Source organism: Homo sapiens, chromosome 6, assembly GCF_000001405.40.
Source record: "Homo sapiens chromosome 6, GRCh38.p14 Primary Assembly".
NCBI lineage: Eukaryota > Metazoa > Chordata > Mammalia > Primates > Hominidae > Homo > Homo sapiens.
The window spans coordinates 116,615,768-116,641,261 of NC_000006.12; the positions used below are offsets into that span (position 1 = coordinate 116,615,768).

Below are 25,494 nucleotides of genomic sequence, written 5' to 3' on the forward strand. Positions count from 1 at the left end.
TGAATTTCAATTATTAGAAAACGGGTAACCCATGAATTGCCTATTTATAGGTTTTCTGCATTGCCTTCTCAAGTATAATATTCTGCCTAATCACCAGGAGATTCCTTATAAGCAGGAAGAACAAAACTCAGGACTGCTTTGTCTATTCTCCGAGTCTTTAGAGTTGGTTGGTTGTAGCTGATGCACGCTAAATGTGAGGCTTGGGGTCTCCTGGTCAGCACACTGGGGTCCCATTGTTACCTGCACCTCCGAGATTACCAAGGTCAGTCTCTTCCTCCCTCTCTACCCCTCACTCTCCTCTCTCCCTCCCTCCCTTCCTTCCTCCGTTCTTTCCTTCCTTCCTTCTCTCTCTCTCTCACACACACACACCCTCCACACACACGCTTCATGAATACACTGTCCCTCCACTAACGCACGACTCGCTCCTCACAGCACAACTTGGATCAGTCTCAGACCCCTAAAGGTCTCTCGCATGGGGTCGCCATTCTTCCTACTTTGTGCTCAAGGCGCAGGATCTGGAGTTCTCGGTTTCCAAGCAAGACTGGTCGAGTCTAGGTCGGATTGGCTGCGATAGAACGAGGGGCAGGGGTTGTACCGAATCACAAAGCTAGGATTTTCATCTCTCTCTCTCGTTCTCTCTTAGTCTCCGCCCTCGAATCCTGGCAACAGGCGCGGTGAGTTTTTCTGAGAGGAACCCGGCCTGGGGTTGCTATGGAGATAGGACGCAGCAACTCACAGAGCAACCAGGACCCAGAAATCGCTTAAGAGACCGCGGCAAAGTAACTTAACTGAGTTGCCTTCTTCCATATTTTCACGCCCCTTTCATCCAGAACATTTTTTTTCTTGAACTGCTTCCATGGAGGACTCAACCTCCCCGAAGCAAGAAAAAGAAAACCAAGAAGAACTAGGGGAAACAAGGCGGCCATGGGAAGGAAAGACAGCAGCTTCTCCCCAATATTCTGAGCCTGAGTCGTCTGAGCCCTTGGAGGCGAAGCAGGGGCCAGAAACTGGACGCCAGTCCCGAAGCAGCCGTCCTTGGAGCCCGCAGTCTAGAGCCAAGACGCCTCTGGGTGGCCCCGCGGGACCAGAAACATCATCACCTGCTCCTGTCTCTCCGCGGGAGCCCTCTTCCTCTCCTTCTCCCCTGGCTCCGGCCAGACAAGACCTCGCGGCACCACCTCAGTCGGACAGGACCACGAGTGTGATTCCTGAAGCTGGGACACCTTATCCTGATCCTTTGGAACAATCATCTGATAAAAGAGAATCAACTCCTCATCACACAAGCCAGTCAGAAGGAAACACCTTTCAACAGTCTCAGCAACCCAAACCCCACCTGTGTGGACGAAGGGACGTGAGCTATAACAACGCTAAACAGAAAGAGCTGAGATTTGACGTTTTTCAGGAGGAAGACTCAAACAGTGACTATGATTTACAGCAGCCGGCGCCTGGGGGCTCTGAAGTGGCCCCCAGCATGCTTGAGATCACCATTCAGAATGCTAAGGCTTACCTGCTGAAGACTAGCAGCAATTCGGGCTTTAATCTGTAAGTCTCAGAGGGAAAAAAGATAAATGTTTGGCAAAGCAAGAGGGTGTGTGAGTATCTCTGTGTGAGAGTGTGTTTCTGTGGGTGAATCAAAATATATTTGAAAGATTGTGTTAGTAAAAGAGAGTTAATGACATAACTCTGGATCACATGACTCAAAACAGGTCATTAATGGAGATTCTTGTACCTTCTTTTTCTTAACCTTTTTTTTTTTTTGTCCTTTTCCTCCAGCTTCTTTAAAGACCCTAGGCACACAACAAAATAAAACTTAGGAATTATGGAATCTCGGGCTTGAAAAAGACCATAAAGACCATAAAGTCCAAGCATCTCTCCAGGATGCTTGTGAAAAATAATTGTCTACCAGTGAAAGCAATCACGTCTCTCATCTGTAGATGCTATTGCTTGCATGGCTTTTGAGTTCCCAACCCAGGCAGTGCTAGGGTGACCACCATCTCAGTTTGGCTGAGCGCTGAAAGTTCTTTATCCTAAGAAACCCCTTAGTCCTCGCAAACTCGGAGAATTGGTCACTATACAAGCTACCTGGAACACATGCCATTTTATCCAAGTCTCTTAAAATGTGATGATCAATAGTCTACATATGTTCTGCCCATCCCATTATAGCTTTAATTTTAGAACTTATGACATGTATAGATTTCTATAGATTTTTGCTTCCAGAGTTACATAATGATAGGGTCAGTAGAATTTTAGGGCTAGAAGGGCTTTTGGAAAACATCTAATACAACTCATTTGTTTTTGTAAATGAGGAGACCAAGTCATGGAGAACCTAATTTGCTCAAGATTCCAGTGGCTAACAACACTTACCGACTCTTACCTCTCCCTCCATCACTAAGCTCTAGCCCCATGGCTGTTCCCTCTGCCCAGAAGGCTTCTTTTCTAAGTCTTTGGCTGGCTGGCTCCTCATTCTTCAGAACTCAGCTTCCATGGAACACTACTAAAAAGCTTATTCTTTTCCTTCATAGCATTTAATGTCATTTATAATTTTTTATACAGAGAGACAGACTTATATTTTAATATCTGACTCTCCCACTAGATTGGAGGCCCCCAGAGAGCAAGGACTCTGAATTTTGTATACCACTATATACTTAGTGGTAGCACAATGCTAGCAACTATTAAGAAGAAATGAATGCTTTTTCTATTCTCTCACTCTACAACAACCAACATAGAAGACTTCTTGTTGTTGCTGTTGGTTTTGTCTTTGTTTTGAGACGGAGCCAGCTCTGTCGCCCAGGCTGGAGTGTAGTGGTGCCATCTCAGCTCACTGCAGCCTCTGCCTCCTGGGTTCAAGCGATTCTCCTACCTCAGCCTCCCAAGTAACTGGGATTACAGGCGTAAGCCACTGCGCCCAGCCTCAACACAGAAGACTTCCGTGACAAAATGTTTGGGGTTCTGTTTCCCTATCCACAAGCAAGCAATCACTTCTGCAGTGGGCACCAACTAGGTGTCCTCCAATTCAATTCTGACATATCCACCTGGAGATAGCATCAGATCCCACAGGTTGAGGGCTCAATCCCACAAGACTGCCCCACACTTCCAATGCCAATTACAAGCCCCAGGCTGATTAACCTGTGCTTCTGACCAACCAGCTATAAACCAGGGATCCAACAACTCCCTCTTTTGGTTTGACTAATTTGCTAGAGTGGCTCACAGAACTCAGGGAAACACTAATGATTACTGGTTTATTATAAAGGATATTACAAAGGATGCATATGAAGAAGTATTGGGGAAGGAGTGCAAAGTTTCCTTGCCCTTTCTGGGAAGGCCACCCTCCAGCAACCTCCATGTGTTCAGCTATCAGATGCTCCCCTAAACCTGTTCTCTTGGGCCTTTTATGGATATGTTATTGGATAGGTATGATTGGTGACTGTGTAGAAAAGGGGTATAATCTAATGCTAATAGACTGAGTGGGGAAGCCCAGCAAGGCCTAACCAGATTCTTCTTGGCCTCTCTGTGGAGCATTCTTTCCTCCTTGATATGGGGCAGGACCTCTTTTGAAATGGGGGTCTTATGACCATCAATCAGACAAAGTAGGTTAGAGAATTTTATTATGGCCAGACATGGAGAAACAGAGTATACTTTTAGTTTCTAAGGCCTATCTTGGGGATAAATGAGAAGCGGTATGAGACTTATGAGTCAGAAACTATGGATGAAAACCAATGTATATAAATCATAATTCCTAAGTTCTCACCATGATCTATTGGGGTGCTTCCTGATTAATCAGTAAATATTAATTAAATGCCTACTGAATCTACAATGTGGCAAATATTTGCAGCTATTACTAGGCTTTAAGATATATGAGATATAATTTTAAAGTCTAAGGAATAAAAAAATTAATGTATGATGTGAGAAATCTCATGAAATGTGAGATCAGTTTGAAATATTATTTATTAGTTAATTTTTTTTTCTTTTGAGATGGAATCTCACTCTGTCGCCCAGGCTGGAGTTCAGTAGCACGATCTCGGCTCACTACAAGCTCTGCCTCCCAGGTTCACGCCATTCTCTTGCCTCAGCCTCCCAAGTAGCTGGGACTACAGGCGCCTGCCACCACACATGGCTAATTTTTTTGTATTTTTGGTAGAGACACGGTTTCACTGTGTTAGCCAGGATGGTCTTGATCTCCTGACTTCGTGATCTGCCTGCCTCGGCCTCCCAAAGTGTTGGGATTACAGGCGTGAGCCACCACACCCAGCCTATTAGTTAATATTTTAAACTACAATTTACTTAAGCTGCAAGAATGTAATTTGCTACTCCATAGTGGACTCTACTTGAATTTCTGATATGAACTTCTTGTCATAATGCCCTATGTTAGATAGCAAGCCTGAATTTACAAACTGCTAAAATTGCAAAGGAACACATTATAAATACTTGTGAGTTCACTAACAATTTAAAACAATGTGAAAACATAAAATTTTCTTTATTGAATTATTTTATAATTGATATTACTTACATATCTAAATTTAATTTTATTTCCAAATGCTGTCTCTGAGGTAATAAGTGAATATCTTCCATAATATTCACTGTTATCCTCTAAGTACTTTAGTGCCTACAGTTTAAAATTGTTTAGTAAAAGATTACTTTAACTCCATCTCTTATATGCAGATCTAATTTGACAGCCATAAAAGCTATTTTTCATGGCAATTTAAACAATCTTTGACTGAAATATGGAATCTGAAAATGGTTTTTCATCATTGAACTAACAGGCTATAGGAAAGAATTGCTTCCTCCTTTTCTTCCATTTTTTTAAAAATAAATTATTACTCCTCTCTAATAGAAAAAACTATAATTGTAAATTAAAACCTAATACATATATTTCATAATTTGACACAAAGGCATTTTCAGGTGTGGACTTGAATAAAGCACATATATATATTATATTGAAACCTGAAAAATAAAATGAAAATTTGGACAGAGAGTCCCTGATGTGATGCCATCCACAGCTGCTACTGAAGCAAATCAAACCCTTTCATTATTAATCCAGCTATTGCCCGATAACCAACAGTGTTTTTAGTCTGGAGTCTTCTCCATGAGTTTTCTTTTTCTTTTCTTTTTGAGACAGAGTCTCACGTTGTCACCCATGCTGGAGTGCAGTGGCACAATCTTGGCTTACTGCAACCTCCACCTCCTGGGTTCAAGTGATTCTCCTGACTCAGCCTCCCGAGTAGCTAGAATTACAGGTGCCTGCCACCACACCTGACTAATTTTTGTTTTTTTAATAGAGACGGGGTTTCACCATGTTGGCCAGGCTGGTCTCAAACTCCTGACCTCAGGTGGTCCGCCCACCTCAGGCTCCCAGAGTGCCGGGATTACAGGCAGCCACTGCTCCCGGCCTTCTCCATGAATTCCAACAGTGCATGAATATTAAGGAAGCTTGATGAAGTTTTAAAGAAACTCCTAGTCAAAACATTTCTGTTCATTTACAAGAATTATTTGAGGAAGGAATTTTATATTCTTCAAATACTGTATAATATTTTAACTGCCCTTTACATTGATCTCCCATATAATATACATATTTTTCTTTGACATTTCTGAGGTCATTAGATAAATAGAGACGTTAAATGAAAAAGAAAAAACGAAAAATATAGCTTAGGTCAATTAATAGAAAGTAGACAATTATTGAACAACTGTTTATTTTGTTTCACTATAATAAGAGAGGAGTTATATAAAATCCTAAGCTTGGCTGTGAAGAACGTACTGCAGTTGCTGAATAGGAAATATATATGTATAAAATTTCAGAGCAGCATATCATTGTTCTCAGAAAGAACTCCTCTGAACTGGGGAAGGATGATTTTGGGGAATGACTTAAGTGCTAAGTCCCTAAGAATGAAAGGAGTTTTAAATTATTTTTTGAGAGAAATTATATATATGGTTCACAGCAAGCAAAAGCTCCCAGGTAGAACTTAGCAAATGTATGAAAGTAATTTTTATTAGAACGTCTAATTGAACTAATAATTAGAAACAAAGTTGGAGAGATACGATGCGTATCCACCAGAGAAGCAATTTATACAAATTTCCACATTGAACAGAGGATTTTTTTCTCAAGAAAAGAGCACTTTAACAGGACACAAGGATACTTTGACAGACATTTTGGCCTCTTAAAATTCACTTTGTAATTCTGGTATTTGAAAAAGCAAACACTAGCAGTTATATATAAAATGTAATGAATTACTGAGAGGATAGAGGCAATTTCACTAATTCAGTTGTGAAATAAAAATCTAGGGCAGTGTTTCGAATGGAATAGAACAAAATATTAGAGTGTATCACATTTCAATAAAGGTAAGTAATATTTAATGGCTTTTTTTGTTGTGTGTAAGTGGATGTTACAATATGAAATGCAAGATGGTCTGAGAAGCACTGAAGTAGAAAATTGGCTTTAAAAATAAAATGGAAAGGAAGAGAACAGATCTTAAAGACAGAGTCAACAAGATTAGAAATCAAATTGGATTTGGTGAGCGGAGGGGAAGGGGAATGGAAAAGAAGTTATGATAAAAAGTGAAAAATAATGTTAATCACTTTTAAATATATAACCAAAAGATTGTAATTTCAGAAATAAAATGTGAAAATGTACCTGATGTGGAATACGTATCGTGCTCTAAAATGTTTTTCTTTAATAAGTTAAACATCCTTATGATATTGGAATCATTTCCTAAGGAAAACTCTAGGATAAGTTATTTCTGGCATAGTAGAAATTATCTTAAGTGTTTATCCTCTGAAAATCTCTGAAGACTTCAAGTTATTGAAGTTCCTTAAAAACAAACTGAGTCTGCAAATAGTTGTTCAATAATTGCCTACTTCCTATTAATTGACCTAAGCTATATATTTTGTTTTTTTCTTTTTCATTTAACGTCTATATTTATCTAATGACCCCAGAAATGTCAAAGAAAAATGCTTCTTCAAATGCTCTTGACATGTATATTATCTGGAATTTTCTCTGTTTGGATAGATATGATCATCTTTCTAATATGTTGACCAAGATATTAAATGAGCGTCCTGAAAATGCTGTTGACATCTTTGAAAATATTAGCCAAGATGTGAAGATGGCACATTTTAGTAAAAAATTTGATGCACTACAAAATGAGAATGAGTTGCTTCCAACATATGAAATAGCAGAAAAGCAAAAGGCTCTTTTTCTCCAGGGACATTTGGAAGGAGTTGACCAAGAATTGGAAGATGAAATAGTAAGTCACTACTACAAATTTTAATAATAAACCTTAGGATTTTATTTGGGACGAATGGCTGTGGCTTTAAATTCATACCAACTGTATTTTATAGCTTGTTTTGTTTTGTTTTGTTTTGTTTTGTTTAGACAGGCTCCCAGGCTTGGAGTACAATGGCGTGATCTTGGCTCACTGCAGCCTCTGCCTCTCAGGGTCAAGCAATTCTCCTGAGTAGCTGGGACTTCAGGCACGTGCCACCATGCCCAGCTAATTTTTGTATTTTTAGTAGAGATGGGGTTTCGCCGTATTGGCCAAGCTGGTCTCAAACTCCTGACCTCAAGTGATCTGCCTACCTTGGCCTCCCAGAATGTTGGGATTACAGGCGTGAGCTACTGCACCTGGCCCTTATAGCTTCTTACATAGTATTTACATCTTATTTTTTAAAAATTCTTCAAGTCCTCTTTAGTCAAACTCTTTTCACACTACTCATTTCCTTGATTAGGGATTTCTTGTTTTTTTCATACTGTGTTTTAGTATTTTGCAAGCTATAACAGATTGTTATATGTTTGTATGCTAAGCTCCTTGACATTAGAGTAAAGGATTTCTTCACATTTTATATTCTCCAAGGTGCCTGGTACAGATCTGGATGTATAGCTATTTTTGCTAAAGATTTGTTGAATAATGAATAAATGTTAGATAATTAAAATCAGGTTTTAAAACAAGTTGCATGTTTATTAGAAAATTTAGAAGCACTTCTAATATCATTTGTATTTTCTTCTAAGACAAGCTCCTTATATTATGACTTGATATTATGTATATTACATCAATGGGATGTAATACAAGAGGAGAGGAGTAAAATACTTTTTAAAATCTTCATAGACAAAATTTTGAAAATATTTGGAGAAAAAGTTGGTGACAGAGATTGAAAAAAGCTATAATTAGAGAATAAAATCTTATACATCACAGAAATTTTAACTTCAAATGTTTCAAAATAGTATTGGCTATTCTGTTTCCTAAATACTCATATACTTGTAATTTGTTCACATCTGCTGAACGTATATTCAGTACCACTAGATTATTTAAGATGTGTCTATATGCTTTCAAATTTGATGTTTGGAATAAGGTATTTTCAAAACAGCACTCTGTCAGGGAAAAGATAAGGGAGACAGTAGATGCTTTCTCCAGGCTAAGCAGCCTATGAGGAGAGACCTAACTGATGCAGTAAGACCTGTAGTACTCATACAGAAGGAACAGGTGATAGGTGTCAAGGAGTTGACATTAGACAGTTTCAACAAGGTGGCAGTTGGTTATGTAGCCATATCCAGTGATGATGAGTCTGGGAGCAAACAGCATATGGAGATGAGGCAGATAGGCAGGCATTCTCATACAGGAGTTAATCAAAGAAAGTTCAGACTCCAGGGTAAGAATGGGTGCCCTTTATAGGCACAGAATTACAAGGTAGGGCTTTGCATCCTAAAACTAGGATATGGGGTGAGAATACAAATAAGCTGTTTTGATCATGGGACCTGGGCCCTTTAACTAGATTCCATACATCTTCCTAATAAGGGATAAGATTGACTTTAAAGCCTGGAACAGCTGAGTCATCAGGTGAAGATTAAAAGCTCCACCTCAGAAAGTAGAAAGAGGCAGGAACAGATAGAGAGACAGGTCTCTCTGATGCATTGAAATATGAGCTATATGACCAACCTGTCCCTGACTTATATGTTTAGAGTGTTCACGTTTTTATTCCTGCCTTTGACCACACCAGAATTCGTTTGCTTAGTCTTCAGCATTCATTTATTCATTCACCCATTTATTCATACACTATGTGACTACTGCATACCAAGTACTGAGATATACATGGGAAAAAGGCTTTTCTGACTTTAAGTTGCTTAAAATTTACAGAAAGGCAAAAAAGACTGGAAAGCCATTTGATTAGTGCAATAAAGAGACAGCCTCATATGATGGAGTAAACATGGGCTTTGGAGGTAGCCAGATCTGAGCTAGAATCCTAGTTCAACTAGCTTGCTAGTTGTGTGATTTTGAGCAAGAGGCTAAACTTTCCAAGCCTTAAGGATAATCAAGTGGCTTAAGGATAATCAAGTGGCTAAACCCTGAGGGATAGAGGTAGTATATATAAAGGATTTGGCTTATAATAGGAACTTAATAATAGCAATTGTTATTATATTCTTTTGACAACACGATAAATGACAGAATGGAACAACTAACTCTGCTATTGGTCATTGGGCAAGGCTTTTTAGTGGAGGTAATATTTCATTTGGGCCATGAAGGATAAGCAGGAGTTCACCAGGTGAAGACTCTTAGAAATTAAATTCTTAGAAAAAGGAACAATAAAATAATTAGGAAAGATTATTTAATGTTTGGAAAAGTCGATTGTGGGTTTGAGAGAGTGATGGAAATGAAGCAAACAGAGTGCTTAAAGCCAGACTGTTCTTTGTGCATTGATAAGTAACTTCTTTCTTGTAAACAGTAAGAAGTTTTTAAATAGAGAATAGCATGGTCTGACTTTTGGTTTAGAAAGATAACTCTGATCATAATATGAAAGATAATGAAAAAAGAAAGGTAGAATGGGGCCAGAGGAGAACGTTAGAAGCCTTCTGCTATAGCACAAGTAGTGAGGATGGTGACTAATACAGTATAACTGAATACAAGAGGAGGAAATAATGCCAACAAATTTTTATGTGCTAGAATCAATAGGAATCTAACTACTTAAATATTGAAGATCAAGGGAGTCAGAGGAAGCAAGGATGACCGAACTTTCTGGTGTGAGAAACTGAGATGTCACTGGCGAAGAAAGAGTACATAGAAAAAAGAGAAAACTTTGAGATGTGAATTAAATATTAAACTGAGGTATCTTTAGAATACTCAAGTGAAATTTCTCAGAAGTGGCTAGAAATATGTGTAGAATATGGGAGAAAAGTCAGAGTTAGAGAAACTTTAAACAGCCACTTATCACTTGAAGTGGTGTGGAGAACTCTTCCAAGCATAAAGAGTTGAGAGATGCGATAAGTGAAAAGGATATTTTGACAACATCAACATTTGGAGCTCAAGAAATAAGGGAGCAATTAAAGAGACTTAAGATGAAATAGTTCTAGAGGGCCAAGTGGGATCAAGAGTGAGTGGTACAGCAAATGTCAAGGAAAGACTTTTGCAATCCTACATCAAGGCGATGAGGATTTTCAAAAGTCGTTATACTTATTTTGACACTACAATTATAAGAGCATATCATTTGTAAGAACAGCAGAGCTCTCAAGTTTTTCATCTTGAGGGTCAAGGTTTCTCTTGCAAGTTATCTTGACCTGTAGTTGAAGTTCTTTCCTACTTTTTCACAAATGTGTTTCTTTTTTTCTTTTTCTTTTTCTTTTTTTTGAGACCGTCACCCAGGCTGTAGTGCAGTGGCGCGATCTCGGCTCACTACAAGCTCCACCTCCTGGGATCACGCCATTCTCCTGCCTCAGCCTCCCGAGTAGCTGGGACTACAGGTGCTCCCCACCACACCCGGCTGACTTTTTGTATTTTTAGTAGAGATGGGGTTTCACCATGTTAGCCAGGATGGTCTCGATCTACTGACCTTGTGATCCACCTGGCTCGGCCTCCCAAAGTGCTGGGATTACAGGCGTGAGCCACCACGCCCAGCCTTCACAAATGTGTTTCTATGGTCCATTTAAGACTCTGCTTATTCATTTCTCTGTATTTCTTTTGTGGAATTTTTTAATTTTTCTCATTATTTTAAATTCAAAATAATTTATTATAAGTAGAAGGAGCATCTGACTACATTATGTCTTCAAGTATAGACATGAGCACTTTATTACATGTTCATTTTATTTATTCCATACATTACATTATACAGGATACTATATTTTTAGTGATCCTATAAAACCATGCACTTAATAAATGTTTATTATTTTTAAAGATATATAGTAATATAGACATATGGAAAACCATATTTTGTTCTAAATATATGTGTACATAGTTATTCTACATCTTCTTTTAGGATAGTAAGGGAGTCACTTATTTTTTATAAAACAGGAATGTTGAATTTTTATTATTCATAGTAATTATTAAACTTTCTCTACCTAAAATATACACATAAACAAGGTAGCTATTATACATTAATGAGTATAAGATACAAGAGAAGCTACATTTATAAATAATGAGAGAAGAACAGAAATTCAGGAATTATCATACTTTGACCTAAATCTTTTTGTTTGTTTTTTGGAGATGGAGTCTTGCTCTTTTCCCTAGGCTGGAATGCAGTGGTGTGATAGCTCACTGCAACTTCCGCCTCCCGGGTTCAAGTGATCCTCCTGGCTCAGCCTCCCAAGTAGCTGGGACTACAGGCACGCACCACCATGTCCAGCTAACTTTTGTATTTGTAGTAGAGACGGGGGTCTCACCATGTTGGCCAGTCTTGAACTCCTGATCTCAGGTGATCCACCAGCCTTAGCCTCCCAAAGTGCTTGGATTACAGGCGTGAACCACTGCACCCAGCCAATTTGATCTAAATCTTGAGAGAAATGTCAAAGAAGTGGTGGAGAAAGTAGAATATCGAGATACATGAAAAAGACAAGGGAAGCAAGCATTTGTCTTATTGATAAATTTTAACCACAGCATTTGTTTCCCCAGGCAGAAAACGCTCTTCCAAATGTAATGGAGTCAGCTTTTTATTTTGAACAAGCTGGAGTTGGTTTGGGCACAGATGAGACATACCGCATATTTCTTGCCCTCAAGCAGCTTACTGATACCCACCCAATCCAAAGATGCCGCTTCTGGGGAAAGATCTTGGGTCTGGAAATGAATTATATTGTAGCTGAAGTGGAATTTCGTGAGGGGGAAGATGAAGAGGAAGTGGAAGAGGAAGATGTAGCTGAAGAGAGGGACAATGGAGAAAGTGAAGCTCATGAAGATGAGGAAGATGAATTACCAAAGTCCTTTTACAAGGCCCCACAGGCTATACCAAAAGAAGAAAGTAGAACAGGTGCCAACAAATATGTCTATTTTGTTTGCAATGAACCAGGAAGACCATGGGTGAAGTTACCACCAGTTATACCTGCACAAATTGTTATTGCAAGAAAAATCAAGAAATTTTTCACTGGGCGATTGGATGCTCCCATCATAAGCTACCCACCTTTCCCAGGAAATGAGAGTAATTATTTACGAGCACAAATTGCCCGAATTTCAGCAGGAACCCACGTCAGTCCTCTAGGATTTTATCAGTTTGGTGAAGAGGAAGGAGAGGAGGAGGAAGAGGCAGAAGGTGGGCGAAATAGCTTTGAGGAAAACCCTGATTTTGAAGGCATCCAAGTGATTGATCTAGTAGAATCCCTATCCAATTGGGTTCATCATGTACAGCATATTCTCTCTCAGGTAGGAGCTTTGCACTTCTCAATCTATCAGGTAATTAGGCAAATATTCATTAAATGGTCACTATAATGCACAAAGACATACAAAATAAAGGCCTTTGGACTCTATTTAATAGGCAGGAAAAGAGATAATTAAAAACACAGCCAAAAATGCAGAGTAATATACAATTGCCAGTGTCTATATAATTGTCTATATAACTGAAGGTCCCAGGGATCTCCAAACAGACTTTATTTTCTATTTGAAAATAAAACACATTCTTCTATGGAGCGTTTGACAGATGATGTACAGATTTAGATTTGTGTGTTCTGAAATTACTCAATTTTTATATGTTTAATATAGATGGGTACATTAATTTTGAAAATAGTTCTTTAATTTTATCTCTATAATACATGTAGCTTTTGTGCCAAGAACAATAAGGGATTGTAACAAAAACAAAAAGCAAGGAAACAGTGCTGTATAGCAGTTATATAATACCTATTGTGCCAGGTGTGTGTGTGTTGGGGTGTGTGTTTGTGCGTGTGTACAAGATTTAATCTTCACAGCAACCCCATGACATAGTATTATTATCCTTAATTTTCAGATGAGGAAATTGAAAGAGAGTTTAGGAAATGTGACAAAAGGAACATAACTAATAAGGAACAGAATCAGATGTGAGGCTGCACAGAGTGGACCCAGTGCATCCACTTAACCCCTGTGCTATATTACCTCATCTGCAGGTAGAAAATCTTCGTTATACTTTGATCTAGATAAGAGATACTCTTAGCTTTCTCTACATAAGAGCTAACTGAGACATTATAAACCCTAAACCTCCATAAATAATCTTACCACATTTAAATGTTATTGTTAATAATAATCATCATAATAGCTTTAGCTCTCTCACATAAATTATTTACCACAAACCAGTAAAATACACTCTTACCTTTTTCACTAAGGTTCTGCTAATTTTAAAATATAAGTGATAATTTAAAAATACACATTCTGTGACTTCAAGAATTTGGCAAATTCTTAAAATAAATAGCACGGTCCTTTCCTTGAAACAACCTAGATCAAAATAGCACTTGGAAAATGTATGTAGAATGAATGAATGAATAATTGATTAAATTCCCACAGAGTTACACTTCATCCTGATCAATTCAAATGAATAATCTGAAATTTTAAGGTCCCCATTAGACTACTAAATCTTGCAACATTCATTCCCAGGGTCGCTGTAATTGGTTCAACTCCATACAAAAAAATGAGGAAGAAGAAGAGGAAGAAGATGAAGAAAAAGACGATTCTGACTACATAGAACAGGAAGTGGGGCTTCCTCTTTTGACACCAATCTCTGAAGATTTAGGTTATTTTACGTAACTATTATCACACACAGACACACAAACAATATAATATACTGTGTGCATTATATAGTAAATATGAGAGTCGGAAAGCTCTAAAAACTGGACAGGAGCCAAGGTCTCATCCTCTTCCCATTCATGTTCTGGGATGATAGGGAGTGAAGAATGTAGCTGGCCACATCAATGTTCTCTGACAGAGGTTGAAGGAGTCATGCAGACAGGAAACATAAGTTGGCTGTAGCGCTTTCTGGAAATGCTGACAATTGTCTCCTTTATTATTCTTGTCTTGCATTCTGCAGACCATAAACAAATGGCATAAATATTCTTCGTCCTGGTTTTTAAAAACTCTACTCTCATTCCTATATTCTTGTCTCTTTCCCTTCAGTTTTGGAGTATTTGTGCTTGCAACCCTTGATCTTATTCATATTAATGATGTACCTTTCATTGGGCCATCAAATATTACTCACTCTACCACATAAGCCTCCTTTCCCTTAATAAAACTTCTTGTCTTGTTTGCAAAAATGGAGATGTATATTTCAAATTCCATTGTTCCAAAACATTCATGAAGTACCCTCCTGATTTTGTTAAGTTGCTGCTGTTTTTTCTTTCTGTATCAAGTATGTGTGTATCTGTGTGTGTGCATGCATGTGTGTGTGTGTGTATTTATAAAAATAGCTTACACAGTAGATTCTTGTCTAGTTAGGAATTAAGCTTTTGCATTTCTCTTTGGGTTCCAGAGATTCAGAATATACCCCCCTGGACAACACGGTTATCCTCAAATCTCATTCCACAATATGCTATTGCAGTCCTTCAATCCAACCTTTGGCCTGGAGCATATGCCTTCTCCAATGGCAAGTAAGTATCTGACCACTTACAAAGCCATTTCTGTGATTAGTTAAGCTCTGGAAATTATAAATAACCACTAGAATGTTAAGCTACTATCGTTGTTTCTTTGGTTTTTTTTTTCGTGTTTTTTTTTTTTTTTTTTTTTTTGAGACAGAGTCTTGCTCTGTCACCCAGGCTGGAGTGCAGTGGCATGATCTCGGCTCACTGCAACCTCCGCCTCCTGGGTTCAAGCCATTCTCCTGCCTCAGCCTTCCCAGTAGCTGGGATTACAGGCATGCACCACTATGCCCAGCTAATTTTTGTATTTTTTTTTTTTTTTTTTTTTTTAGTAGAGACAAGGTTTCACCATGTTGGCCAGGCTGGTCTTGAACTCCTAATCTCATGATCCGCCCCGCCTCAGCATCCCAAAGTGCTGGGATTACATGTTTGAGCCACCATGCCCAGCTGCTACTATCGTTTTAACTCATCTTTGGCATATTATGTGTGTGTGGCATAAAATTTATTAAAATAACATCTGTGATACACAATAAAACATCAAATTCAGGACATTAAGTAGTAATTTGGACTTTTACCCTTTCATCTTAATTATCCAATTTGTTGAAATAAAATATGGTTTTTCATCATTGATTATTTGGGTAATGACTTATTCACTTAGTAGATTAATGGAGGTATTTCTAAGCAATGTTTAGTTTAAATCTCAGATCATTTCTGGAGAGAAAGCTGAGCGGCCAGGTGTTAGAGTAGCCATTAAAGCAACAAGCTAAAAATGAGAGTTAAGCCTTTAATCATTTACTGTGATAGTATAAACAAGAGAAAGCTTTGACATCCCCCTGTTCCATTTTCCCCCATGGAATGGCCCTCTATTGGAGAGTCAGGTGGATCAGCACAGATATGGCTATCATAGATGTGGAGGTGCTGGGGTCATCTCATTGACAAGGGAATCCTCAAACGGCTCCTGCAGTTTTACAGACCTGGAGACCAAGAGGAGGATGAGAGGGCTAGAAGTGAAAAAGTGCTGAGCACAGAGAGCAGAGAAAGGAGGGGCTGGAAAGGCCTCTGCTGAAGGCCTCAGATAAAGAGACCTAGGAACGGAAGCACCTGGTCTAGGAATGCAAACATTGAAGAGCATGACGAGCCAAAGGGGCCAGCGTCCTTGACTGCAACTTCCCGTAAAGACAGCAGTGCATTGTACTCCAAGTCTGATGTGCCAGGTAAACTCTTTGTGATTGCCTATGGTCATGCCTAAAAAAAAGTAACACATAGGTTTCTAACCACAAGCCCAACTCCTTGCCCAACCAGGAGTTTGCACAGTTAGCTATTTTTATATCTTTCTAACTTTGTGGAAGGTAGTAACTTTTTTTTTTCCTCCCCTGAAAATAATTGAAGGAAGAAAGGCTTTTGCTTGTGGTCTAGGTGTAGGGTACATTTTAACAGTATCTGGCCCCATGGTTTTTTTTTTTAACCAGCTTAGGCAGTTTGGATGAAAACAATTCCCTGTGGTAGAAGAATCATTGAGGAATATTTCACTTCTAGCATTTTACATGTATTGCTTTTTTAAATTATAGGACCATGATATTCTAAGCACTTTAATATTACAGAAGGGTCAGTTTTTCTGAGAAATTATATAATGATCTTTTTTTCTTCTTCTTTTTCTTACTTATAGAAAGTTTGAAAATTTCTACATAGGCTGGGGTCATAAGTATAGTCCAGACAATTATACACCCCCAGTTCCACCACCAGTTTATCAAGAATACCCCAGTGGACCAGAAATTACAGAAATGGATGATCCTAGTGTGGAGGAGGAGCAGGCTTTCAGGGCTGCACAAGAAGCAGTTCTACTCGCAGCTGAGAATGAAGAATCTGAGGAAGATGAAGATGAGGAAGATGATTATGACTAATAAACATAAAATTAGCCTGGTTTTATGTGACACTGATACACACACACCCCTTATATGGGACTAATTTTACACTTTTCTGTGTTATGTGTGTATATACATACACATGTAAGAAATTATTCAACTGCAAAATCTCAATCTTGAAAATCAAGCTTGAAATTTCATAGGTAGAAATATTAGCATTTTTATTGAAAGATACTCACAGGATTTTCCAGAGGCTAAATAACATGCAATTGCATAATTGTTCTGAGGGTTATGGATAATGGAATATGTGTTTGTACATTCCTGTTTTTAAAAGGGCTCAGGTTTCACATGGTCCAGGTGAGGTAAAACAATTAAAATAAATAAATAAATGGTCTCAGGTTTAATTTGTAATACGACAAACACTGGAAGATATAACCCACAGGAAATTCTTGGAAACATCAATACTTTTTAAAGAGTGTCAAGGGGTATGAAGACAAAAAATATTGATAGTCACTAGAGTAATGTATTCTTAACCTTTGTAAGAACTGATCTCAGCATGTATTCTTAAACCTTTGTAATTACCTATGGTGTGGACTGTGATATTGTGTGCAAACACTTTATAGCATATATATTCATTTTTCCTGCTTGAGATAGTATCATAATTCTGTCACCTGCTTAAAACTGTAGGAACACTCAATTTTTTTTTTTCTTTTTTTTTTTTTTTGAGACGGAGTCTCTGTCACCAGGCTAGAGTGCAGTAGTGTGATCTCGGCTCACTGCCACCTCTGCCTCCCGGGTTCAAGTGTTTCTCCTGCCTCAGCCTCCTGAGTAGCTGGGACTACAGGTGCACGCCACTACACCTGGCTTTTTTTGTATTTTTAGTAGAGACGGGGTTTCACTATGTTAGCCAGGCTGGTAAATTTTTAACTCTTTTGTTACTTCTCAAAAAGTCTTCTCAGACTCCTCTTTCATCCTACAGAAATTGATTTGAACTGATTAGGGAAAAATGATTTGCTTTGCACAGATATGGTTAGCTGGAGATAGCCAGAGACTTGACTTATATTTTCTAGCACTACTTCTCTAAAACATTATCTTCCCTCACTAAAAAAGCATTTTTAAGTCCTGTATGTACCAGATATACCTGTGGCTATGACTAAAAACTAGGCACTACTCTTGAAATCATAGAGCTTTCATTGAAGAGAGAACTATAAAAAGGTAAATAGAAATGTAAAATCAATCGCAATTTAGCAAGTATTGTGATACAAATATTACAGGTAACACAGAACAGTGCTTCTCAAATTCTACAGTAAAGGAATTTTGCTAAGTTAAAAAATAATTCCAATCCATTACTGTTGTTTTTTAAAAATAAAATGACACAGCAGTTCTCAATGTCTGTACTTACCTTGCCACAGACCTTCAGTTTGCAGATCACAGATCTGCACCCGGAGTAACACTGTTGTCAAACACAAGGTGCACTGAATTCAGATTTCAGCAAGTCAGGAAGCACTTCTAAGAGCCACCAGGTGGAGTGCTATGGGAGAAGGTTCTTGGTGGCATCAGCTGCATCCTGGCAAAGGACTTTTGGCTGAAAGGAATGAAATTTCAACCGCAAGAAGTGGTGAGAGATGAGCCTGCAGAGGCAAAGAGGGGCTAGAGTGTGTGGAAGTCTGGATTTTACCCATGAACAGTGAAGAGGATTACACTAGAAAGTCACACAAATATTTGTATTTGAGAACATTTTGGCTACAGTGTAGATGGATGAGAGAGAATCCAGATTTGAGACAAGGAGACCAGTTAGGAGGTTATCACATTATCTAGGTAACACAGTGGCTCACACCTGTAATCCCAGCACTTTGGGAGGCCAAGGCGGGTGGATCACCTGAGGTCAGGAGTTCGAGACTAGCCTGGCCAACGTGGCGAAACCTCGTCTCTACTAAAAATACAAACATTAGTCGAGTGTCATGGCGCATGCCTGTAATCCCAGCTACTCGTGAGGCTGATGCAGGAGGACTGCTTGAACCTGGGAGGTAGAGGCTGCAGTGAGCCAAGATTGCGCCATTGGCACTCCAGCCTGGGCAACAAAATGAGACTCCGTCTCAAAAACAAAAACAAATAAACAAAAAAACAAAAAACCCAGGATAACTGCAAGGGGATATAAAGTAGAAAACTGCACCTGGTGGCTGAGGTGGGAGGATCGCTTGAGCCCAGGAGGTCAAGTGAGCTATGATCGTGCCACTGCACTCCAGCCTGCGTGACAGAGCAAGACCATGTTTCAAAAAAAAAAAAAAAGAAAACTGGTTACCAGTCTGAAGGACAGAACATTAGGAAAGATGGTTTCCAGAATTAAATTGGCAATACTATTTCATTCTTGAAGTGCAACTTTCATTCTTTGTTGGCATACCTAAAATTCACAAAACTTCATTCATGTTGGTTGTTATTCATTTTTTCATGACATAGTAGACATGTTCTTTAGTGTTGCTTAATATCCATTTCATTACCTACCCTGATTTCCTTTTGAGGAACTGCCTCTGTCCCATTAAATAGTCTCATGCCAATCAGATGTAGCCTCTCTGGGATCTAAATTATGGGCTCCTAACCAGATTGTTCCTTCTACAAATTAGACCATATTCTAGTTTCCACAGTTGGCTTGGTTCCAGCTAAGTTCTACCCATGGACTGTGAGCTTCTGGTAGTTTTTTGATGAATTACATTGGCCAGGATTCTTGGTTGCAACCACATGTGGCATGTCCAACAAGAAGTGGAAAGTTTCTTTTCTACAGAACACATTAAACACAAGACTCTAAATCACAGTTGTATAGTTAGTATAAACACTTAATCAATGCAAATCCTTCTTTATAGAACTATGCCTGTTAAATATTATTTCTAAGCAGTGAGGAAGAAATTTTACTATATATGTTCTCTAACGGAAGACAGCCAAATAGTTTAATGGTAAGAGTTTGGTTGGAAGTGAGATAGCCTAGGTTCATACCCTGGATCAAGATTTTTCTTGGGCAAATTACTAACCTCTCAGGGCTTTAGCTTGCTTCTTCATGGGCCTAATAATAGTACTTGTCTCACAGAACTATTCTGAAGATTAAACTAAGTAATATATGTAACATACTAAGAGTACCTAACAAAAGTAAGGACCCAATGCATATTAGCTTACAGCTATAAAATAAAACTGGTTTCCGAAACATAGATAAGAAAAACAAAATCCACAATGCAAAAACAAGACATTTTATTGAAATAATTTACCAAACAATGAAGTATGATAGGTATAATTCAATTAACACAGGCATTTTAGAAATTAAATTATATGTTAAGACTTAAGAGAATTCACAGATTCATAATTGTATTAAGGAGTTCAATATCTACATTTAGAAAACAAAGTATTGTTCTCAATCACTGAAATGCTTAAATGCTTGATTCTTCAAGGAATCTTCTCGGCTGTAAAGACTTGAGAAGCTTGTCTCCTGGCCTTGAAAAGAAATTTTAAAAAACAATTTTAAGCTATAAGTCAATTAATTAGAATATGTGTTGTCATTCTAATGTAAAAAATAAAATCTGGAATTTTTTTTCAAGATAATAATGAAAATTCCTAAAGAAAAATTGCAATCTCAAACTTCTGAAATTAGGAATAAACATTTTTCCAGCCAAGGCATAAACAAAGAAAAGTCCAGATAAAGACAAAACAGTATGAAATAGAAAATGTCACTTTTTTGTGGAATAATGAGTCAAAAGTAAAATGCTGCCTCAAAGTCAGAGAGAGATGAATAAAAACAGAGAGGAGGCTAGAGGAAGACAGGGCTGTGCACAGAGAAACTTTATAAACATTATGCATATCCCTCATTATAGTCTTAAAAACGTCACTTCAAAAAAATTTTCAATGTTTGTGCTATTTTCACAACCTGAGTTCCAAATCAAGACATATCAAACCAAGCTAAATTAAGTTAAATCAAGCTGAGAATACAAGGATGACACGATGGAAAATTTACGAATATAGTGGGGTAACTTTAAAACTGCATATCATAATGTGAAAAAGAATTAAGGAACATGGCTATTGCATAAATCTGTATTTACTATTTAACTGAACTGCATTAGGTGATATTGTCTAAAATAAATCCTTTCACCTAAACAATTGCTCCAACATCTAGAACAGAGTCTGAAATTAGTAGACACTCAAAACATATCTATGGCAGAAATGTCTTATGGTAATTATAAGACTCTAGTGGCCAAGATTAAAAAAAATTTTTGAAAACCAATCACTCTCTTTCTATAATAGTTGCATGATTATTAAAAGATCAGAACTAATCATAAGTACAAATATGAAGAACAAAACATAAAATGCAGTTATAAATATGTATATTTTGGGATACCATAAACTATCATATTTGTTTTTAATCCTACAATTTAAAAAATTGTAGTTATTGCTTTGAAGAAATACTTTTAAAAAATGAGTTATAAAAGCTAATATGAAATAAAAGTGAAATCACTATTTTGTCCTTTAAATAAAGCTGCAGACTTTTACCTGATGATCTGCAAAACACTTGGCACATTAATATTGGCTGAATTCCTACAGTATAAAGTACTGTTAAAAAGGACAGAATAACTATAAGAAACAGATGCTAAAAAAAGTTATATTAAATTAGTAAGATTAAATTTTTTTCATTTTTCAAAATGTAATATCTTTTCAAAAAGAAATGTGAAATTGTTCATACAAAAGCTCAGCAAACATGACTATGAGGTTTTGTATCCTTACAGAAGAGGCAATATAGGGCTCCAGATGCAAACTGCCTAAATTGGAATCCTGACTCTCTATTTAGCAGTTGTGCTACCTTAGGAATACAATTTCTCTCTGCCTCAGCATCCTCTTTTATAAAATGGAGATTAATAATGGTGTCTACTTTATAGGGCTGTTGTGTGGATTAAATTAGTTAACATATGTAATGTGCTTAGGATAAGATAGCCCATAGTACAGAATAAGCATTAGACAAGTGTTATTTCAATCTATTATAATTAAATCTTATTATATTTATTATTATTATTCCTTTTCTACCTGGCAGTGTTATACATTGTTAGCCAAGTTACGATTCTTACAGTTAAAGCACAGCTACTGTCCATGACTTAGAAAACCAGAACATCAAATGCACAGTGCAGAAAGCACATTTTTAGTATTCTAATCCCACAAACAACTCCATTTCCAAAACCAGAAAGACAACAGCCAACTAAAATGTTCAGCAAGACTCCACAGTAATACTTAACCACACCTATGCTCTCGAATGTGTACACTGGTGAGCAAGTGTCTTGGTATTTTACAATAATTGAAACAAACCTAACTTTATCTAGACAAATTAATGATAGGGTTAAAAAAATTAATGTGGCTGGGCACGGTGGCTCACGCCTGTAATCCCAGCACTTTGGTAGGCCAAGGCGGGTGGATCACCAGAAGTTGGGAGTTCAACATCAGCCTGGCTAACATGGTGAAACCCCATCTCTACTAAATATACAAAATTAGCTGGGCGTGGTGGCACACGCCTGTAATCCCAACTACTTGGGAGACTGAGGCAGGAGAATCACTTGAACTGGGGAGGGAGGCAGAGGTTGCAGTGGGCTGGGGTCAAGCCACTGCACTCCAGCTTGGGTGACAGAGTGAGAGTCGGTCTCCAAAAAAAAAAAAAAAAAAACCTTGCCTTTGTATCCCATGTTATGAGACTGAAAAGATTATTCTAGCTCTATTATTTCAAAAACTTACAGTCCTTTCCCCCATGATCCCATTATTCTCCATAACTGTTTGTCTCTAGTCTTCAGTCACTTTTCTCTTTAGAGGGAAATAAATCAATGTGAAGTATTTTGGAGCTTTTTTTTCTTAATTTAGGGCTTACGCATTTTCTACACTTGATGTGCTATCATATAGCTTCAGTTCACACCAAGTGGAAATTTTTCAATTCCTAGGAATTTTTCTATAATATTACGTTCCCCCCTGATGGTGTAGTAGCTAGGATTCAATTCCTAGGAATTTTTCTGGAATATTGTGCTCATCACTTAACTGCAAGGAATAAAGACAAGAGGAAATTCTAATGAAGTTAAATTCTAGAAATGTGAATATCCAATAAGCCCAAGTGCATAAAATAGAGCCTTAGGAGTCACAAGAATCATATTTTAATAAACCACAATTATAAGGCCAATATGAGTTAGGTCTCCTTGGATTAAGTTAGGTTTTCTTACTATATGTTTACATTATTCATCGCTCACCTGACATTAAAAATTAAATATTATAAAATTAAACACTTTTGGAGGAGGAGGAGCCAAGATGGCCGAATAGGAACAGCTCCGGTCTACAGCTCCCAGCATGAGTGACGCAGAAGACGGGTGATTTCTGCATTTCCATCTGAGGTACCGGGTTCATCTCACTAGGGAGTGCCAGACAGTGGGCGCAGGACAGTGGGTGCAGCGCACCATGCGCCAGATGAAGCAGGGCGAGGCATTGCCTCACTCGGGAAGCGCAAGGGGTCAGGGAGTCCCCTTTCCTGGTCAAGGAAAGGGGTGACAGGCGGCACCTGGAACATCGGGCCACTCCCACCCGAATACTGCGCTTTTCCGACAGGCTTAGGAAACGGCGCACCAGGAGATTATATCCTGCACCTGGCTCGGAGGGTCCTACGCCCACGGAGTCTCCCTGATTGCTAGCACAGCAGTCTGAGATCAAACTGCAAGGCGGCAGCAAGGCTGCGGGAGGGGTGCCCGCCATTGCCCAGGCTCGCTTAGGTAAACAAAGCAGCCGGGAAGCTCGAACTGGGTGGAGCCCACCACAGCTCAAGGAGGCCTGCCTGCCTCTGTAGGCTCCACCTCTGGGGGCAGGGCACAGACAAACAAAAAGACAGCAGTAACCTCTGCAGACTTAAATGTCCCTGTCTGACAGCTTTGAGGAGAGCAGTGGTTCCCCCAGCACACAGCTGGAGATCTGAGAATGGGCAGACTGCCTCCTCAAGTGGGTCCCTGACCCCTGACCCCTGAGCAGCCTAACGGGGAGGCATCCCCCAGTAGGGGCAGACTGACACCTCACACGGCCGGGTACTCCTCTGAGACAAAACTTCCAGAGGAACGATCAGACAGCAGCATTCGCGGTTCACGAAAATCCGCTGTTCTGCAGCCACTGCTACTGATACCCAGGCAAACGGTCTGGAGTGGACCTCTAGCAAACTCCAACAGACCTGCAGCTGAGGGTCCTGTCTGTTAGAAGGAAAACTAACAAACAGAAAGGACATCCACACCAAAAACCCATCTGTACATCACCATCATCAAAGACCAACAGGAGATAAAACCACAAAGATGGGGAAAAAACAGAGCAGAAAAACTGGAAACTCTAAAAAGCAGAGTGCCTCTCCTCCTCCAAAGGAACGCAGTTCCTCACCAGCAACGGAACAAAGCTGGACGGAGAATGACTTTGACAAGTTGAGAGAAGAAGGCTTCAGACGATCAAACTACTCCGAGCTACAGGATGAAATTCAAACCACAGGCAAAGAAGTTAAAAACTTTGAAAAAAATTTAGACGAATGTATAACTAGAATAACCAATACAGAGAAGTGCTTAAAGGAGCTGATGGAGCTGAAAGCCAAGGCTCGAGAACTACGTGAAGAATGCAGAAGCCTCAGGAGCCAATGTGATCAGCTGGAAGAAAGGGTATCAGCGATGGAAGATGAAATGAATGAAATGAAGCGAGAAGGGAAGTTTAGAGAAAAAAGAATAGAAAGAAATGAACAAAGCCTCCAAGAAATATGGGACTATGTGAAAAGACCAAATCTACGTCTGATTGGTGTACCTGAAAGTGACGGGGAGAATGGAACCAAGTTGGAAAACACTCTGCAGGATATTATCCAGGAGAACTTCCCCAATCTAGCAAGGGAGGCCAACAGTCAGATTCAGGAAATACAGAGAATGCCACAAAGATACTCCTCGAGAAGAGCAACTCCAAGACACATAATTGTCAGATTTACCAAAGCTGAAATGAAGGAAAAAATGTTAAGGGCAGCCAGAAAGAAAGGTCGGGTTACCCACAAAGGGAAGCCCATCAGACTAACAGCGGATCTCTCAGCAGAAACTCTACAAGCCAGAAGAGAGTGGGGGCCAATATTCAACATTCTTAAAGAAAAGAATTTTCAACCCAGAATTTCATATCCAGCCAAACTAAGCTTCACAAGTGAAGGAGAAATAAAATACTTTACAGACAAGCAAATGCTGAGAGATTTTGTCACCACCAGGCCTGCCCTAAAAGAGATCCTGAAGGAAGCACTAAACATGGAAAGGCACAACCGGTACCAGCCACTGCAAAATCATGCCAAAATGTAAAGACCATCGAGACTAGGAAGAAACTGCATCAACTAACAAGCAAAATAACCAGCTAACATCATAATGACAGGATCAAATTCACACACAACAATATTAACTTTAAATGTAAATGGACTAAATGCTCCAATTAAAAGACACAGACTGGCAAATTGGATAAAGAGTCAAGACCCATCAGTGTGCTGTATTCAGGAAACCCATCTCACGTGCAGAGACACACATAGGCTCAAAATAAAAGGATGGAGGAAGATCTACCAAGCAAATGGAAAAGAAAAAAAGGCAGGGGTTGCAATCCTAGTCTCTGATAAAACAGACTTTAAATCAACAAAGATCAAAAGAGACAAAGGAGGCCATTACATAATGGTAAAGGGATCAATTCAACAAGAAGAGCTAACTATCCTAAATATATATGCACCCAATACAGGAGCACCCAGATTCATAAAGCAAGTCCTGAGTGACCTACAAAGAGACTTAGACTCCCACACAATAATAATGGGAGACTTTAACACCCCACTGT

The 25,494-nt window shown here is 38.8% G+C and overlaps 2 protein-coding genes and 1 long non-coding RNA gene across 16 annotated transcripts in view, besides 2 other annotated features; 1 reads left to right on the plus strand and 2 right to left on the minus strand.

The window, feature by feature from the left end:
* Positions 712–17,218, plus strand: RSPH4A (radial spoke head component 4A). Of its 7 annotated transcripts, none has more exons than XR_007059261.1 (7): positions 712–1,542; positions 7,001–7,235; positions 11,862–12,602; positions 13,800–13,935; positions 14,668–14,785; positions 15,738–15,987; positions 16,440–17,218. XR_007059261.1 is itself a non-coding variant. In NM_001010892.3 (6 exons), the coding sequence occupies exons 1-6, from the start codon at positions 857–859 to the stop codon at positions 16,672–16,674; spliced, it is 2,151 nt and encodes a 716-aa protein (NP_001010892.1). In that variant the 5' UTR covers positions 712–856; the 3' UTR covers positions 16,675–17,218. The 7 variants fall into 7 exon arrangements, 3 of the variants coding, with proteins under 3 accessions (NP_001010892.1, XP_047274681.1, NP_001155136.1); XR_007059262.1 differs by having other exon boundaries at positions 13,800–13,895; XR_007059263.1 differs by lacking the exon at positions 13,800–13,935.
* Positions 762–861: an enhancer, noted in NCBI's record as "active region_24997". NCBI's record gives its function as "activates an Ori minimal core promoter by ATAC-STARR-seq in GM12878 lymphoblastoid cells {active_cell/tissue: GM12878}" and the evidence as "EXISTENCE:reporter gene assay evidence [ECO:0000049][PMID:35858748]".
* Positions 912–1,031: an enhancer, noted in NCBI's record as "active region_24998". NCBI's record gives its function as "activates an Ori minimal core promoter by ATAC-STARR-seq in GM12878 lymphoblastoid cells {active_cell/tissue: GM12878}" and the evidence as "EXISTENCE:reporter gene assay evidence [ECO:0000049][PMID:35858748]".
* LOC124901386 (uncharacterized) lies at positions 12,692–18,496 on the minus strand. The gene is made up of 2 exons (XR_007059721.1): positions 18,038–18,496; positions 12,692–14,223 (listed from the first exon to the last, which is right to left on the minus strand). It is a non-coding gene; the product is annotated as an uncharacterized LOC124901386 (long non-coding RNA).
* The window catches only part of ZUP1 (zinc finger containing ubiquitin peptidase 1), a 33,149-nt gene continuing 27,505 nt past the window's right edge, over positions 19,851–25,494 (minus strand). For all 8 annotated transcript variants that reach the window (NR_154587.2, NR_154586.2, NR_154588.2 and 5 more), the window contains one exon: positions 19,851–20,112. Coding sequence is in view for 4 of the 8 variants with exons in the window: in NM_001361191.2 (NP_001348120.1) it covers positions 20,065–20,112 (48 nt within the window). In the remaining 4 variants the exon portion in view is untranslated. The remainder of the gene's footprint in view (positions 20,113–25,494) is intronic.